The sequence below is a fragment of the Homo sapiens genome, chromosome 1, assembly GCF_000001405.40.
Source record: "Homo sapiens chromosome 1, GRCh38.p14 Primary Assembly".
Lineage (NCBI taxonomy): Eukaryota > Metazoa > Chordata > Mammalia > Primates > Hominidae > Homo > Homo sapiens.
The window spans coordinates 68795004-68808292 of NC_000001.11; the positions used below are offsets into that span (position 1 = coordinate 68795004).

The following is a 13289-nucleotide window of genomic DNA, read 5'->3' on the forward strand; positions in this document are numbered from 1 at the left end:
GACTTTGCACTTGCTGTTCCATGTGTGTGAAGTGTTCTTCTTCTATTTTCCTGCATACCTGCCATACATCCTTCAAGTCTCATCCCAAATGTCAATTCTACAGAGTCCATGAAACCACTTCATAGACCCCAGAAAAGACCTATTGTACACTTGCATGACACTTTATACTTTTTCTTTATAGTACCTTTATATTGTAATTATAAATTGTGCTATTATGAATGTTCACAGTCACAAAGTACAAATGTGTACAAAGACATAATTTCCTTCACTTCTGTCCAACAGGATTTAGCTCCTGGGATTCCATTTGTGGTGCAATTAAAGCTTGCTACAATCTTCTTACAACTTTTTTAGTCCCTTTCACAAAAGTACTATTCTTTCAACTTAAGGGCCTTCTCTCCCCCATCTCTTCCCTTTTCCCGGGAGGAAATGAGTTCTTGGATCTGAGAGGTAAAGGGATACCTTATTCACAATGGTTCTCTCTAACCTGTGCTGAGATCAATTTGTTCCTACTTATGCTGGAATTCATTGCTGCTACTCCTGATCCTGCAATAATCTCTTATTGGGACATCCATGCTGTCTGTGCTTTTTCAGTCCTACCCTGGAGACCTACCGGACTGATTTTAGGACTTGATTTTCTTTTGGTTGGCAAGGGCTGGGAGTGAGGAAGATTGCTTTCAAACTTAGTTGATTTTCTATTTCTGCTACGGTCAATGTTGGTGCCCCCACAAAATATATCAAAATCCTAACCATTAAGGTGATGGTATTAGGAAGTAAGGCCTTTGGGAGGTGATTATGTCATGGGGTGGAGCCCATATGAATGAGATTTGTTCCCTTATTAAAGAAGAGAAATCCCCTCTCAATCCTTCCAACATTCGAGGACACAGTGATAAAGTACCATCTATGAACTAGGAAGTGGGTCCATTCCAGACATTGAATCTGTCTTGATCTTGGAATTTACAGCCTCCAGAATAGTGAGAAATACACTTCCATTGTTTATAAGCTATCCAGTCTGTGGTATATCATTAAAGCAACCAGAATGGACTAAGACAATATCCCACTAGAGTCTGCTGCACTCTGTGAGGCTGCCTGCAGGCCCATTATCCTAGACATCTTACTCAGCCACAGGATTGTGGTGCCATGTAGAATCTGGCTTTCCTGTAAGTCTTGCCTTCTTCCCAGGATGCAACAAAGGCAGGGAGATCATGCTCTAGCCTAATTTTCTGTGGTTTTGCCTCAGAGGAAGCAGAGTCATGGGGCCCTTTCTGTGCAATCCATAATAACCACAGGGTTACTCTTTTGCTCTCTCCTTCAGTTCTGAAGCTCCTATTTCCAGGCAAAAAAAGTGGAAATATTTCTTATTAAATGCTTTTCGTCTGAGATGAGAAAAGATCGGGTGCATATAGGGTGGTATGGCCATCAACTTCATTGAATGCCATTCTAATAGAAAGTTATGGATAAACTTTGTGCCCATCTCCTTAATATATTGCCTACTCTTGATATTCAGAGTAAAGCTTTCATTTTAAGCCTCTTCTCATTGGCTTTCAAGGCAATTATTCCTGTAATTAGCTTTTAAAAAAGCCATTCAGACACTCAGCTTACTATTTTTTTTCAAGCTGATTAATCCTCTCCTGGGACAAAAAGGATAATTTTGAGAAAAAAAAATCAACTTGGTTGTTTATCAAAATATTATCTTTCCACATATGGTTGATTTTTGAGTCTTCTATAGAATTTCAAGCTCTCCAAGATCAATAGTCAGGTTTTTGTTATACTATTGTATCTCCTAGTTCACATTAGTGTATTTTATTAATAAGCATTTTTGAAGAAATGAATATACAAATAAGTGTCAACCAAGAAGAGGTGAAAGAACAGACTGCAAATGAGTAAGACAATTGGGGTGTTAGGAATTGCAATTTGGGAGACACAGATCTGTCTGGAAGCCAAATTGTGTTCTGAAGAGAGGGAGTGGGGCAGGGATTTTTAAAAGGAAGCAGAGGGTGATTACATAAGTTATTTTGAAATAATTATTATTGACAAAGGCAACTGGCTTAAACACAAGTCCATAGTTCATTGGTTTTTGCTATTCAAGACTTGCAGCACTGGTGAAATTCAGCTATTTTTCAGGATGTTGGGGTTGTGGCAGTTTGGTTCAGTCAAATGGTTCAACCAAGTTACTGTTTTTTGGTTTTTTTTTTCAAGGTTGCAGGTTGTGCAGGCAGTCTTTCTTAGAATGACTACACCCAAATCCATTTTAGAAGTCTGAACCAGAATGACACCATTCTGTATATCATATTTCATACAGAAATCACAGCAAAGGGAAACAAATTCATAGTTCACTGTTGGTAGGTTGAATCCAATCTTCCAAGTAGAAATATTGTAAACTCTATTAGAGTGGGTTGTTTGACTTGGGGGCAACCTATTTCTACCACCTATCCTAATATTAGAATCTTACGTAACCTTAGGCTTGTTTTCAGGGGAAAAGGCCATGGTCTTCTTTAGTCTTTATCTGCATAGAAAGAAGAAAGAGATAAGAACATGTATGTCAACAGGGAAAAACTTATAAGATACAGAAAGGGTACAGGAGACAGACAACATCAGAGGCATGGCTGAGCTTCCTTGCAAATAAAAAAAAGGTCATGGGTCATTTTGTTGCAATGACTGTGTGGATAAAAGTCGAAAAGAACAGAACCACATTTATTTATTTATTTATTTATTTATTTATTTATTTATTTATTTATTTATTTATTTTTGAGACAGAGTTTTGCTCTATTGCGGCTGGAGGGCAATGGAGCGATCTCGGCTCACTGCAGCCTCCACCTCTCGAGTTCAAGCAATTCTGCCTTAGCCTCCCGAGTAGCTGGGATTACAGTCATGTGCTACCACACCTGGCTAATTTTTGTATTTTCAGTAGAGACAGGGTTTCTTCATGTTGATCAGGCTGGTCTGGAACTCCTGACCTCAGGTGATCTGCCCACCTCAGCCTCCCAAAGTGCTGGGATTACAGGCATGAGCCACCACGCCCGGCCTATTTATTTCATTTTTAATGCACGATAACCTATAGTTTGTAAATGCCTCTCAGCTGGTGACCTGAAACATGATAAATATTCCTTTTCGGGGGGTAAAAAAGAGAGGTTGAAGAGAGAGCTTTCTTCTTTCTGCCTACAATTTTTTTTTCATTAGAGCTTTATAGGGAATATTAAGCCTAAACTGGCCAAAAAAGCAACTAATCTTTTTACCATGTGTGACAGCAAGCAAATGCTGGGGCATGGCCAGCTTACAGAAGCATACAGTTTTGGGACTTAGAATCAATATGTAAAATAAAGTTCCATCTTTGTTTTTTCACTTACTTTTTGTTACTGGTTTTTATAGTAAGAGGAATTTTTAGTGAAAAGTTTCCATTTTAGAGGTCAAGTCCCTCTTTGCTTTATTTTGACCACATTTCAGATTTCCCAAAGAAAACACAACAGAGAAAAATAAAACTAAATGCCTCACAGTGCAGCACAGTTTAAAAAGAGGTTTGGGAAAATAACCAAAGAAACATTCGGGGGGGGTTTCTTAAGACCATCAAGAAATGTTAAAGGCTTAAAATTCAACTTAGATGATAATATTAGAGCTATAAACAATTGTTGAAATAATTTTGTCCATTATGCATAGTAATCACTTCATGTAGTGATTTGCTTGAGGTCAAACTGTAATTCAGTGACATATTCTAGGGCAGAGGTGGTTTTCTTTTTTTTTTTTTTTTTTTTTTCTTGATTCCTCAATAAGCCAGCCAGACTCTCTAGTCAAGTAAAGTAAACATGGAAATGGAAGGGGGAAGAAATCTGGAGCCATGTTATTTGACAGACGTGGCCTAAAGAAAATCCATAAATTTTGGTTAAAATGCCTAAATGAGCCTTGACTGGCCCTTGTCCTTCTAGAGGACTTCTTCATTCCCAAGTAGAATCCATGCAATCTGTCCAATATCCTTCCAAAAAATTTCTTTTTGGTTAAGTTAACCAAAGCCTGTTTCCATTGTTTACAAAGAAAAATGATACATATCTTTTTGGCATATTCTTGTACTGCAGGGTTTCTGCAGGGTTTCTCAAAGTTCTTTTGTATGCTAGTGTAAATATTCAAAGGGAGTTATACATGTGGCAATTCCTATATTTATTTGACCTTTTCTTGTAAAACCTAATTTGAGGTTTTTTTCCAGAACACACTCTGGAAAGCACTGCATTATAACATTGCTGTCCCCTGAGGCACTGCCTCAACCCTAGAACTGATTCTCAACCTACTTTGAGAGCTTTAAGAGCCTCTCTTATTTACCAAATAAGGGTGCTGCAATTTTATATTATGAGGGTAGTGTAAGCTCTGTGCTGTAATGTTGCAACATTCAGTTAGGACATTGATAACAATTTTACATGAGGCATTCTAGTTGAACTTTCTGGGTAGGGTTCCAGACTTTCTCTGATTTAGTTTTTGTTGTATTATGGATTCATATACATTCTGGACAATGTTCCGTGCTTCAGTTTCCCTTGAGATGAAACAGAAAAGAATGATACTAACCTGATATCTCCCTCAGCACTGGCAGGTTGAATTAGGTAATGCCTGCAATGTGGCTTGAATTCTTCAGAGAGAAGAATTTTAAAACACCAACAATGAATGTTATAGAAATGACTGAAAAGCACTTCTCATATATTTTAATCCAATGTTTAGTATTTGCATAACCAGTCTATTAAATCCTTTTGAGTAGGATATGGGAATGACAAAAGTCATAGAAACTGCTTCGTGACTGTCTTTTCCAAAAGAAAAGAGAAAAATACAAGTCAGAATTCCAGTTCACACTGAGTTCTGCACATGCTTGAGAAAGTCTGGCCTCGTAGTAGGGCTATTGCTGCCCCACTAACCCTGATAGTGGTGATATAGATTGCTCTACAATTAACATGAGTGGTGGGTGCATGTAATCAGGCAGTGTTATGGGCCATCTTTATAGCATGTCCTATCTCTACTGCATGCCTGATTAGGAAATACATACATTGTCTATTGTCTTTGGCCCAGTACTCTGTCCCCCGATTTTGCAAGTTATTTCAACTTAAGGTAAGGTAGTTGGGGAAAAGTTTGAGTACTAGTCAATGAAGCATTCTACTCATTTATTTCTAGAAAACCTCTAATACCCTTCCCATTGGACAAATATGGTATTGAATATTTAAAAGACTAACATAACTTCAAATTCATGGCCTCTTTTGTTGGTCTTCACAAAGAGGGTTTTTACAAATGGCAAAAAGCTGTTCGTGGAAGTAAGTCTGCTGCCTTTTCTTGCACCTTGCATGCCCAGCACAAAGCCCACAAGTGAGAACTTCATGACCTCTGAACTTAACAAAACAGAAACAATAAGTGAGTAGCTGTCTGCAACAGGAAGTGGACATTTACAGTGACATCATGGAGCTTTGATGGAGGGGGTGGAAGTTGCTCACAAAGGTGAGAGATAAACTCCTGAATTCTCTTTCTCAGTGGGAATCTTGGCTACACTTGAAAATGAAGACACAGCAAAAGCAAGTAATTTTGTCATCTGTTAGATAAAGATTACACACCTACTTTAACTTTTGCTTTTCTGCTTGGTGATTCCTGGGCTAAAGTCACATAGTTAATCAGAAACACTCCTGAGGAGAAAATAATGGTTTCAATTCAACCAGAATGTGATAATTGGTGATATTTAGATGGAACTTGCTTTTATTTTTCTTACAGAACTGCATTTCCCAATATACTTTTTTTCTGAGGTGAGGTGGTGTTTTATGAAGTTTGTTCATTCATTTAGTATATTAAGTACTTATTGGGCACTACTGCATGCCATGATGTTCTAGCTCCTGGTGATATAATGGTGACTAGCACACATTCCGTAAGCTAAGGTGTTTTATATACTAGTTGTAAAGATAGACAGTAAATAGGTAACTTTAGAACAGCGTGATATGTATTTGATAAAGAATCTGAATGGGTAGGAGGAACACATAAATGATCTTAAAGCTGGCCAGCACGGTGGCTCACACCTGTAATCCCCGGCCTTTGGGAGTCCGAGGTGGGCAGATCATGAGGTCAGGAGATCGAGACCATCCCGGCTAACATGGTGAAACCCCATCTCTACTAAAAATACAAAAAAAAAAAAATTAGCCAGGCGTGGTGGCGGGTGCCTGTAGTCCCAGCTACTCAGGAGGCTGAGGCAGGAGAATTGGCGTGAACCCAGGAGGCGAAGCTTTCAGTGAGCTGAGATTGCACCACTGCACTCCAGCCTGGGCGACAGAGCGAGACTCCATCTCAAAAGAAAAAAAAAAAATCTTAAAGGATATTAGGTGATGCACATTGCAGAGGAAATGATAGCTGAGCTGAGAACTGAAAGTTAAATAAAAATTAGGTGAAGAAATGAAGATAAAGGAGATAAATTTCTCTCTTACAGCCTTAGAAGTACAACCTTTTTAAACAGTAATACTAGTCAATGGTTTTGATTACTTAATAAATGCTTCGTGATTTACGTATTTGTCACTTCTTGTAACAATTCTATGAAAAAAAATGAGTGTAGCAGGTCATGTCGCACTAATGCAGGCCTCTGTAACAACTGTTTTAGCACTGACTGAGTGGTAAAGTTAAATATTAAAAGCTGATAGACCCAGTGCCCTTACAAAGTCTGGAACGTAACAAATGTCCACCAAAAGTTTTGCCCAGGCCTTTCCTGGGTCTTGAAATGGGTCTATGACAAGATAATGAAGGAATTCTTAACAAGACCCACTTAGGATTAAACAAGTTTTATTGGGGGCCTGAAGAAACTCCCCAGACCTCCACAAACAAGTTTATTGGCGGGGGAGGGGGGAGGTCTAAAGGTCTAAGGAAATGCCCAAACCTCCATGATTTAGCAGGAGACAAAACAAGGGTAATCACTCCAGCACCTGGACACATTTGGATTAAGTAGATTTACTGAGGCTCCAGAGGAAGGTCTTCAGGACTCAGATCTTAGTTACAGATTAGAAGAAGTTAATCACTTATGTCTTTAGATGAATGCATGCTTGCACGTAGGCATATAGCTTAGAAGGTATATAAGCTCTGGAAAACTTTGTAATTTTGAGTTGATCTGGCAATATTTTCCAGGCCTACTCCCTGTACCTGGTTGCAGAAATAAAATCTCTTCTTTCCCAGTTCATCTGCATCTCATTATTGGGCCACAAGAATAAGCAGCCTGACCCTCAGTTTGGTCTTACATGAGGGGACTTCAAAAACGTTTATGGAAAATATGTACTATAAAAAACTATTCATGAATCCCAAACAATTTCCTCACAAAAATAAACTTGTGCTAGCTCATTATAACATGTTTAAACAGAATTCAGTTTGAGGCACAAAGAAGAATAAGACATCAGTTTCAAAAGAGACCCCATCAGAGCAACATAAATTCTGCTAAAATTGAAGGAAGAACAAACATCAAATTTATCATGAAGCTTGGATGAAAAATAATAAAATGATTAAATGCTTTACACAAAGTTTATGGCGACAGTGACCCAAATAAATGAACAATTTGTAGATGGATAACTCATTTTAAAGAAGGGACAAGACTACGTGGAAGATGAATCCCTCAGCAGTAGATCCTCCTCATCAATTTGTGAGGAAAAACTTCATCTTGTTTCTATCCTAATTGGAGAGTACCGATGATAAATAGAAGAAACAATAGCCAACACCACAGACATCTCACTCACTAAGTTCAGCTTACACAATTATGACTGAAAAATTAAAGTTCAACTCAATGTTTCCATTCAATGGGAGCCAAAACCATTGCATCCAGATCAGCCACAGACAAGAATGGAGATTTTAATGTAAATTTTAAACATGTGGATCAAAATCTTGAACTACTTCTTTGAAGAATTGTAACAGAAGATGAAACATGGCTTTACCAGTACAACACTGGAGACAAGTCACAGTCAAAACAATGGCTACCAAGTGGAGAAAGAGGCCCAGTCAAAGCAAAGGCAAACTGGTCAAAAGCAAAGGTCATGGTAAGAGTTTTTTGGGATGTTCAAGGTATTTTGCTTTTTGATTGTCCAAAGGGCCAAAAAACTATAAATCTGCTTATTATGAGAGGGCTGTGAGAAAGTTATCCAAAGCTTTAGCAGAAAAACACCTAGGAAACCTTCACCAGAGAGTTCTTCTTCACCACAGCAATGTTCCTCTTCGTTCCTTTCATCAGAAAAGGGCAATTTTGAGTTTTGATGGGAAATTATTATGCATCCACCTTCCAGTCCTGCTTTGATTCCTTCTGCCTTCTTTTTGTTTTTCAATCTTAAAACATCCGTAAAGGACACCCATTTTTTTCAGTTAGTAATGTAAAAAAGATTGCATTGATATGGTTAAATTCCCAAGACTTTCAGTTCTTTAGAGACAAACTAAATGGCTGGTAGCATCACTTATAAAAGTCTCTTGAACTTGATAGAGCTTATGTCGAGAAATAAAGTTTATATTTTTATTTATCTTTTAATTCTATTTTTCCACAAACTTTTTGAAGATCTCTTATGCTATTATTGTTCCTATTTTAAGGGTGAAGTAGAGTCTTATGGAGATTGAGCTGTTTGCTCAAGGTCAGACAGTATGTAAGTAGACAAATCTAGATTTAAACACGAGTTGGTCTGAACAAGGAAACGGAGTTTTCCCAGCATGATATATACTGGCTCTTAGATCTCTGTAACTGGCTACATTTAGCTAGATGTGGGTGGAATGTTGATCTAAGGCCGCTAATTTATCAACTAGGTAGGATCCAATTAGTCTATTAATCTTATGAATTTCATCAAAGAAAGACATAGACAATGTGGTGGGCTAATGGTTGGCACTGGAACTTAAGGCTATGATATACAGACCAGGATGGCCAAAACGGGACATGTATACAATGCATAAATGGAGGAATTTATTTAACAAAGAGTAAAGAATAGGATTTGTGAAGAATCTTCTGAGATATGGAGAGAGGAGACTTGAAATGCTTATACATCATTGATGGGCGTGTAAATTACTTCAATCATTGTAGAAAGCAATGTGGGGATTCCTCAAAGAGCTAAAAACAGAGCTACCATTTGATCCAGCAATCCCAGCAATGTACCCTCTGGGTACATACCCAGAGGAATATAAATCATTCTACCATAAAGACACATGCATGTGTATGTTCATTGCAGCACTACTCACAATAGTAAAGACATGGAATCAACCCAAATGCCCATCAATGACAGATTGGATAAAGAAAATGTAGTAACTATACACCATGGAATACTATGCAACCATAAAAAGAATGAGATCATGTCTTTTGTGAGAACATAGATAGAGCTGGAGGTCATTATCCTTGGCAAACTAACACAGGAACAGAAAACCAAATATCATGTGTTCTCACTTATAAGTGGGAGCTAAATGATGACAACACATGGGCACAAAGAGGGAAATACCAGACACTAGGGCCTACATGAGGGTGGAGGGTAGGAGGAGGCAGAGGAGCGCAAAAAAAAAAAAAATAACTATTTTGTACTAGGTTTAGTACCTGTGTGATGAAATAATCTGTACAATAAACACCTGTGACATAAGTTTACCTATGTAACAAACCTGCACATGTACCCCTGACCCTAGAATAAAAGTTCAAAAAAAGGATTCAATAAAATAATGTGAGACTGTTTGTTACAATGCCCCAAGTGTTGCATTTTCTTGACTCCCCCTTTGGTTGGTCCTTCCTTCTTGCTGCTTCTTTTTTCCCCCTCCTTCTCAGGTATTTTTTCCCCTTCCTTCTAAATGTGTTTTTTATAACACTTATATTTCAGAAATCATTTTTGAAGAGAAATAAGAGGCACATTCCAGAGTTTAATAGTGAGAGCCACAGGAGGAACAGGGGGGCAGGAGTTCCTTTCCAATGTCATCCTTTCTCCATAGCAAACCAGGGGAACGGAAGAGATAAGCTAATATGTCATTATCATCTCTAATTTTCCTGATCATTTCTCCTGGAACTGACACAAGGGCCAGATGTGGTTCAGAGAAAAAGTGTACATTTGGCTCTGGAGGAAGGCTTCAGAACTTTTAATAATCCCTTAAAATGCCTGATTCACCTTAGAAAGATTCCCAGGGAACTCCAAAAGACCTTTACCATAAAGAGTAGAGGTAAAGGTTTTGGAAGAGGGTAGATGAGCTAGGAGGCAATAGGAAAGAGAAAGTATAAGTGAAGTGTCAGAATGGTTCAAATAAAAGGTATCAATGTCTAATCAGAACAGAGGACTGCCTGATATAATTCCCAGGTTGTCAAGTTGGCTGTGAAAGACTATGAGAGGATAATGAGGATGGCTGACACTTTTAGGAAGACATGGTTGAAATCTTTGTCTATTTAGAGCAGGGCTGAATCTAGTGTCAACCTGTTAAGGGAGCAAATTTCTTAAGCAATGCTATTGCATTATATGGCTACAAGGGGCATCATTTGCTTTATAATCTACGTGAACATCACCTTGGGGGTGTGAAGCAGTGCAGTGCAAAGCCTGACATAAGCGTCTTCAGTCTATTGCCTCATTTATAGTTGAAAGAGCTGGAAGGCTCAAAGAGCTGGGAGGCTCAAAGAGCTGGGAGGTCAAGTCCCTGCCTAGGGTCCTATAGGCAGTAACAGAGCTGAACCATAAGTCAAGTTACTCTACTTTCAGTTCAGTGATTTTTCAACTAAACTTGTGACTCTCAACCTGTGGGTTGCAAATCTCTAGGGAATGTGGAATTATTACAAGGAGTTGTGTGTATGTGTATTTCCCAATCAATGTATACTAAAAGTATAATTACTATGCACTAGGTTTTATTTAAAATTATTTGCATTAGAGGAGCTCTTCATACAAGATTATGTTGCCAAAATCACTTTGTCTGCTAATCATACTGCTATTGTCTGTGCTGTTCACATTTTTTACAAAAAAGAGAACATAAACAATACCTTTGAAAGATGAGAGCTTGAGATGTTCTTGCCAGACACAGCCTGTATTATGATGTTATCCAACTAGGGTCTTTTACTTTATCTTGAAAATACTTCACAGTAAGAAAGCATATGTGGAAAAAGGTTCAGATTCAAATCTAACTCAGCCACTAACTGCATGACCTTGGGTGAGCTATTTATCCTCTCTCATTTACTTAATAGGCAATTATTGAGTGCTTACTAGGTTGCAGAAATTTTCCTGGTGTAGAGAACCAGATGAAAGAACAAGTCATAACCTTAAGACAGAGAAGAAAACAGATGAGAAAACTTATTACCATACAGGGCAATAAGTTCTGTGATCATTTTATTACTTGTTCACAACGGAATCCTAGAGGAGTGTAATCTGCCCCAGATGTGGGGAGGGATGACAGTTTTAGGGTATTCTTCCCAGGGTTTTTGAAGCTGAACTGTGGAGCAAAGTTAGTCACCAATAAGTGAAAAAGCAGGAAAAGGAACACATTCTGGACAGAGAAGGTGCCATTTACACGCAGAGGAGGATGAAACGCTACATACTGTATGGCTCAATTTTCCTACTCTCAATCTTTGGAACCTAGATTTGCTAAGAAAAAGCAAAATGGAAATCTATGAGTTATCTTCCATATTTGAAGAAGCTTAAATACAATCACAAAATTTTCCATCTAAGTGTTAAGGCTAACTAAAATGTCAAGTTCCTTAGCCTTTCATTTTAATTTTGTCAACTAAGTTCATTTCTCTGAGTACCCCATATTAATCAGAAGCTCCATTTGAGAATTGTATGTGGTGCTAATCTCTAATATACAAACACTGTTACTTAATACTTACAGTTCAGTAGGCAAAGTTCTTTCAACTATAAGGTGAATGGAAGATGTAAGCGAATGCATGAGATCCTACATGAGGCTCTTATATGGATTTTGGAAGCAGGACATTCATCAATATGCCTGGCTTATAGATAGTGCTCAAGAGCCACAGGTTGAATTAATAAATTAACAGAGATCTAGGTTGTAGGTGGAATTGCTTGGCAAGCCCCTTCATACCTTTCTTGTACATTGGCTTTCAAATCCAAGCATTACTCACTCCTTTCCTTCTTTGAGACACATAAAGCAAGAAGTGAATACCAAGGAAGCATGTAAAAATGTCTGGGTTGTCATTTCTTTCCTAAAATAGTTATATTTGCAAATAATATAGTCAATGAGAATTCAAAGTACCATACTAAGATATTAGGATAATAGGCTTCTTCCTAGGATAAGTATACTAGGATGTCTTTACTAGGCAACTCTTCTGTCTATTCAGAATTGTAATTCAATTAAATGACTACTCATGTAGATTATAGGATACCTAAGAAGTTATTTATAGGACACCTATAAGAAGATACAGGGCCTTACTTTAATTTGCAATTAAATTAGGTACAAGTGAACACAGATGAAACATTTCAAGACAGGAACTAGATGGTCATGGTACCCTTTTATGCTTTCTCCCTACTATTCTACAACTCTTTTCAAACAGATGTGTCTCGGTTTTGGCCATAACTCCACTAAACATGTCACTTTGCCATCTATATTATATCCTCTGTAATATAATTTTTAAAAAATCTATAAGGTGGGAGTGAATAGTAAGACTTCCTTGTAATATTTAAGTAAGATAAAATGAAGTCAAACATAGAACATACATTAAATAGTTGTTATTGTGAGGGAGGCAGCAAGGAGTATTGAGGGTGGCTTGAATTTTAAATAAGAACAACTAAGGTTATATTATCTTTCTGCTTGTTACCAGTTTTGTAGTCTTAGGTAAGAAAATTAATCCCTCAGAACTTCTTTTCACAATGTGTTAAGTGAGAATACAATTTATTTATGGAATTTATGTGAAGATAAAATTAACTAATACATGATACAAAACCTAAGATACTGCCCTGAATATGAAAGATAATACAATGAAGAAATTTTCTCTCTCCCATGCTGGACAGTGAGAAATCTGGAAGCAGAAGCTTTCATGAACAATTTGTCATTGTATCTGCAGTATCTAGGACATAGCTTAGAACCTAGAAGGTTCTTAATAAATATGAGTTGAACTGAACTGAATTTTTAAAGCACCTATTCAGTTAGACTTCTTTAATGCATAGAATATAAATCCATTCAATTCAAGATTTCTCAAATAAAGATACACACAGATTAGGAACATGAGCAATCCAAAAAATCAAGATGCAGAATTCTAAAGGTCAAATAACTCATTGTGTTGCATTGTGTCTAAATCAGGGGTTGTTCTGTGTGTAAATCATGGGCTTATAGCAGCAGAAGTTTGAGGGTTTTTGTTCTACTACTCAGGATTCTGCTGTGCT

General features: G+C 37.6%; 1 annotated feature.

Annotated features, from left to right (window-relative positions):
- Positions 12600–12701: a silencer, noted in NCBI's record as "fragment chr1:69273286-69273387 (GRCh37/hg19 assembly coordinates)". NCBI's record gives its function as "represses an EF-1alpha promoter that drives an FKBP-Casp9 reporter gene in an ReSE screen in phorbol 12-myristate 13-acetate-treated (for megakaryocytic differentiation) K562 erythroleukemia cells {active_cell/tissue: K562(+PMA)}" and the evidence as "EXISTENCE:reporter gene assay evidence [ECO:0000049][PMID:32094911]".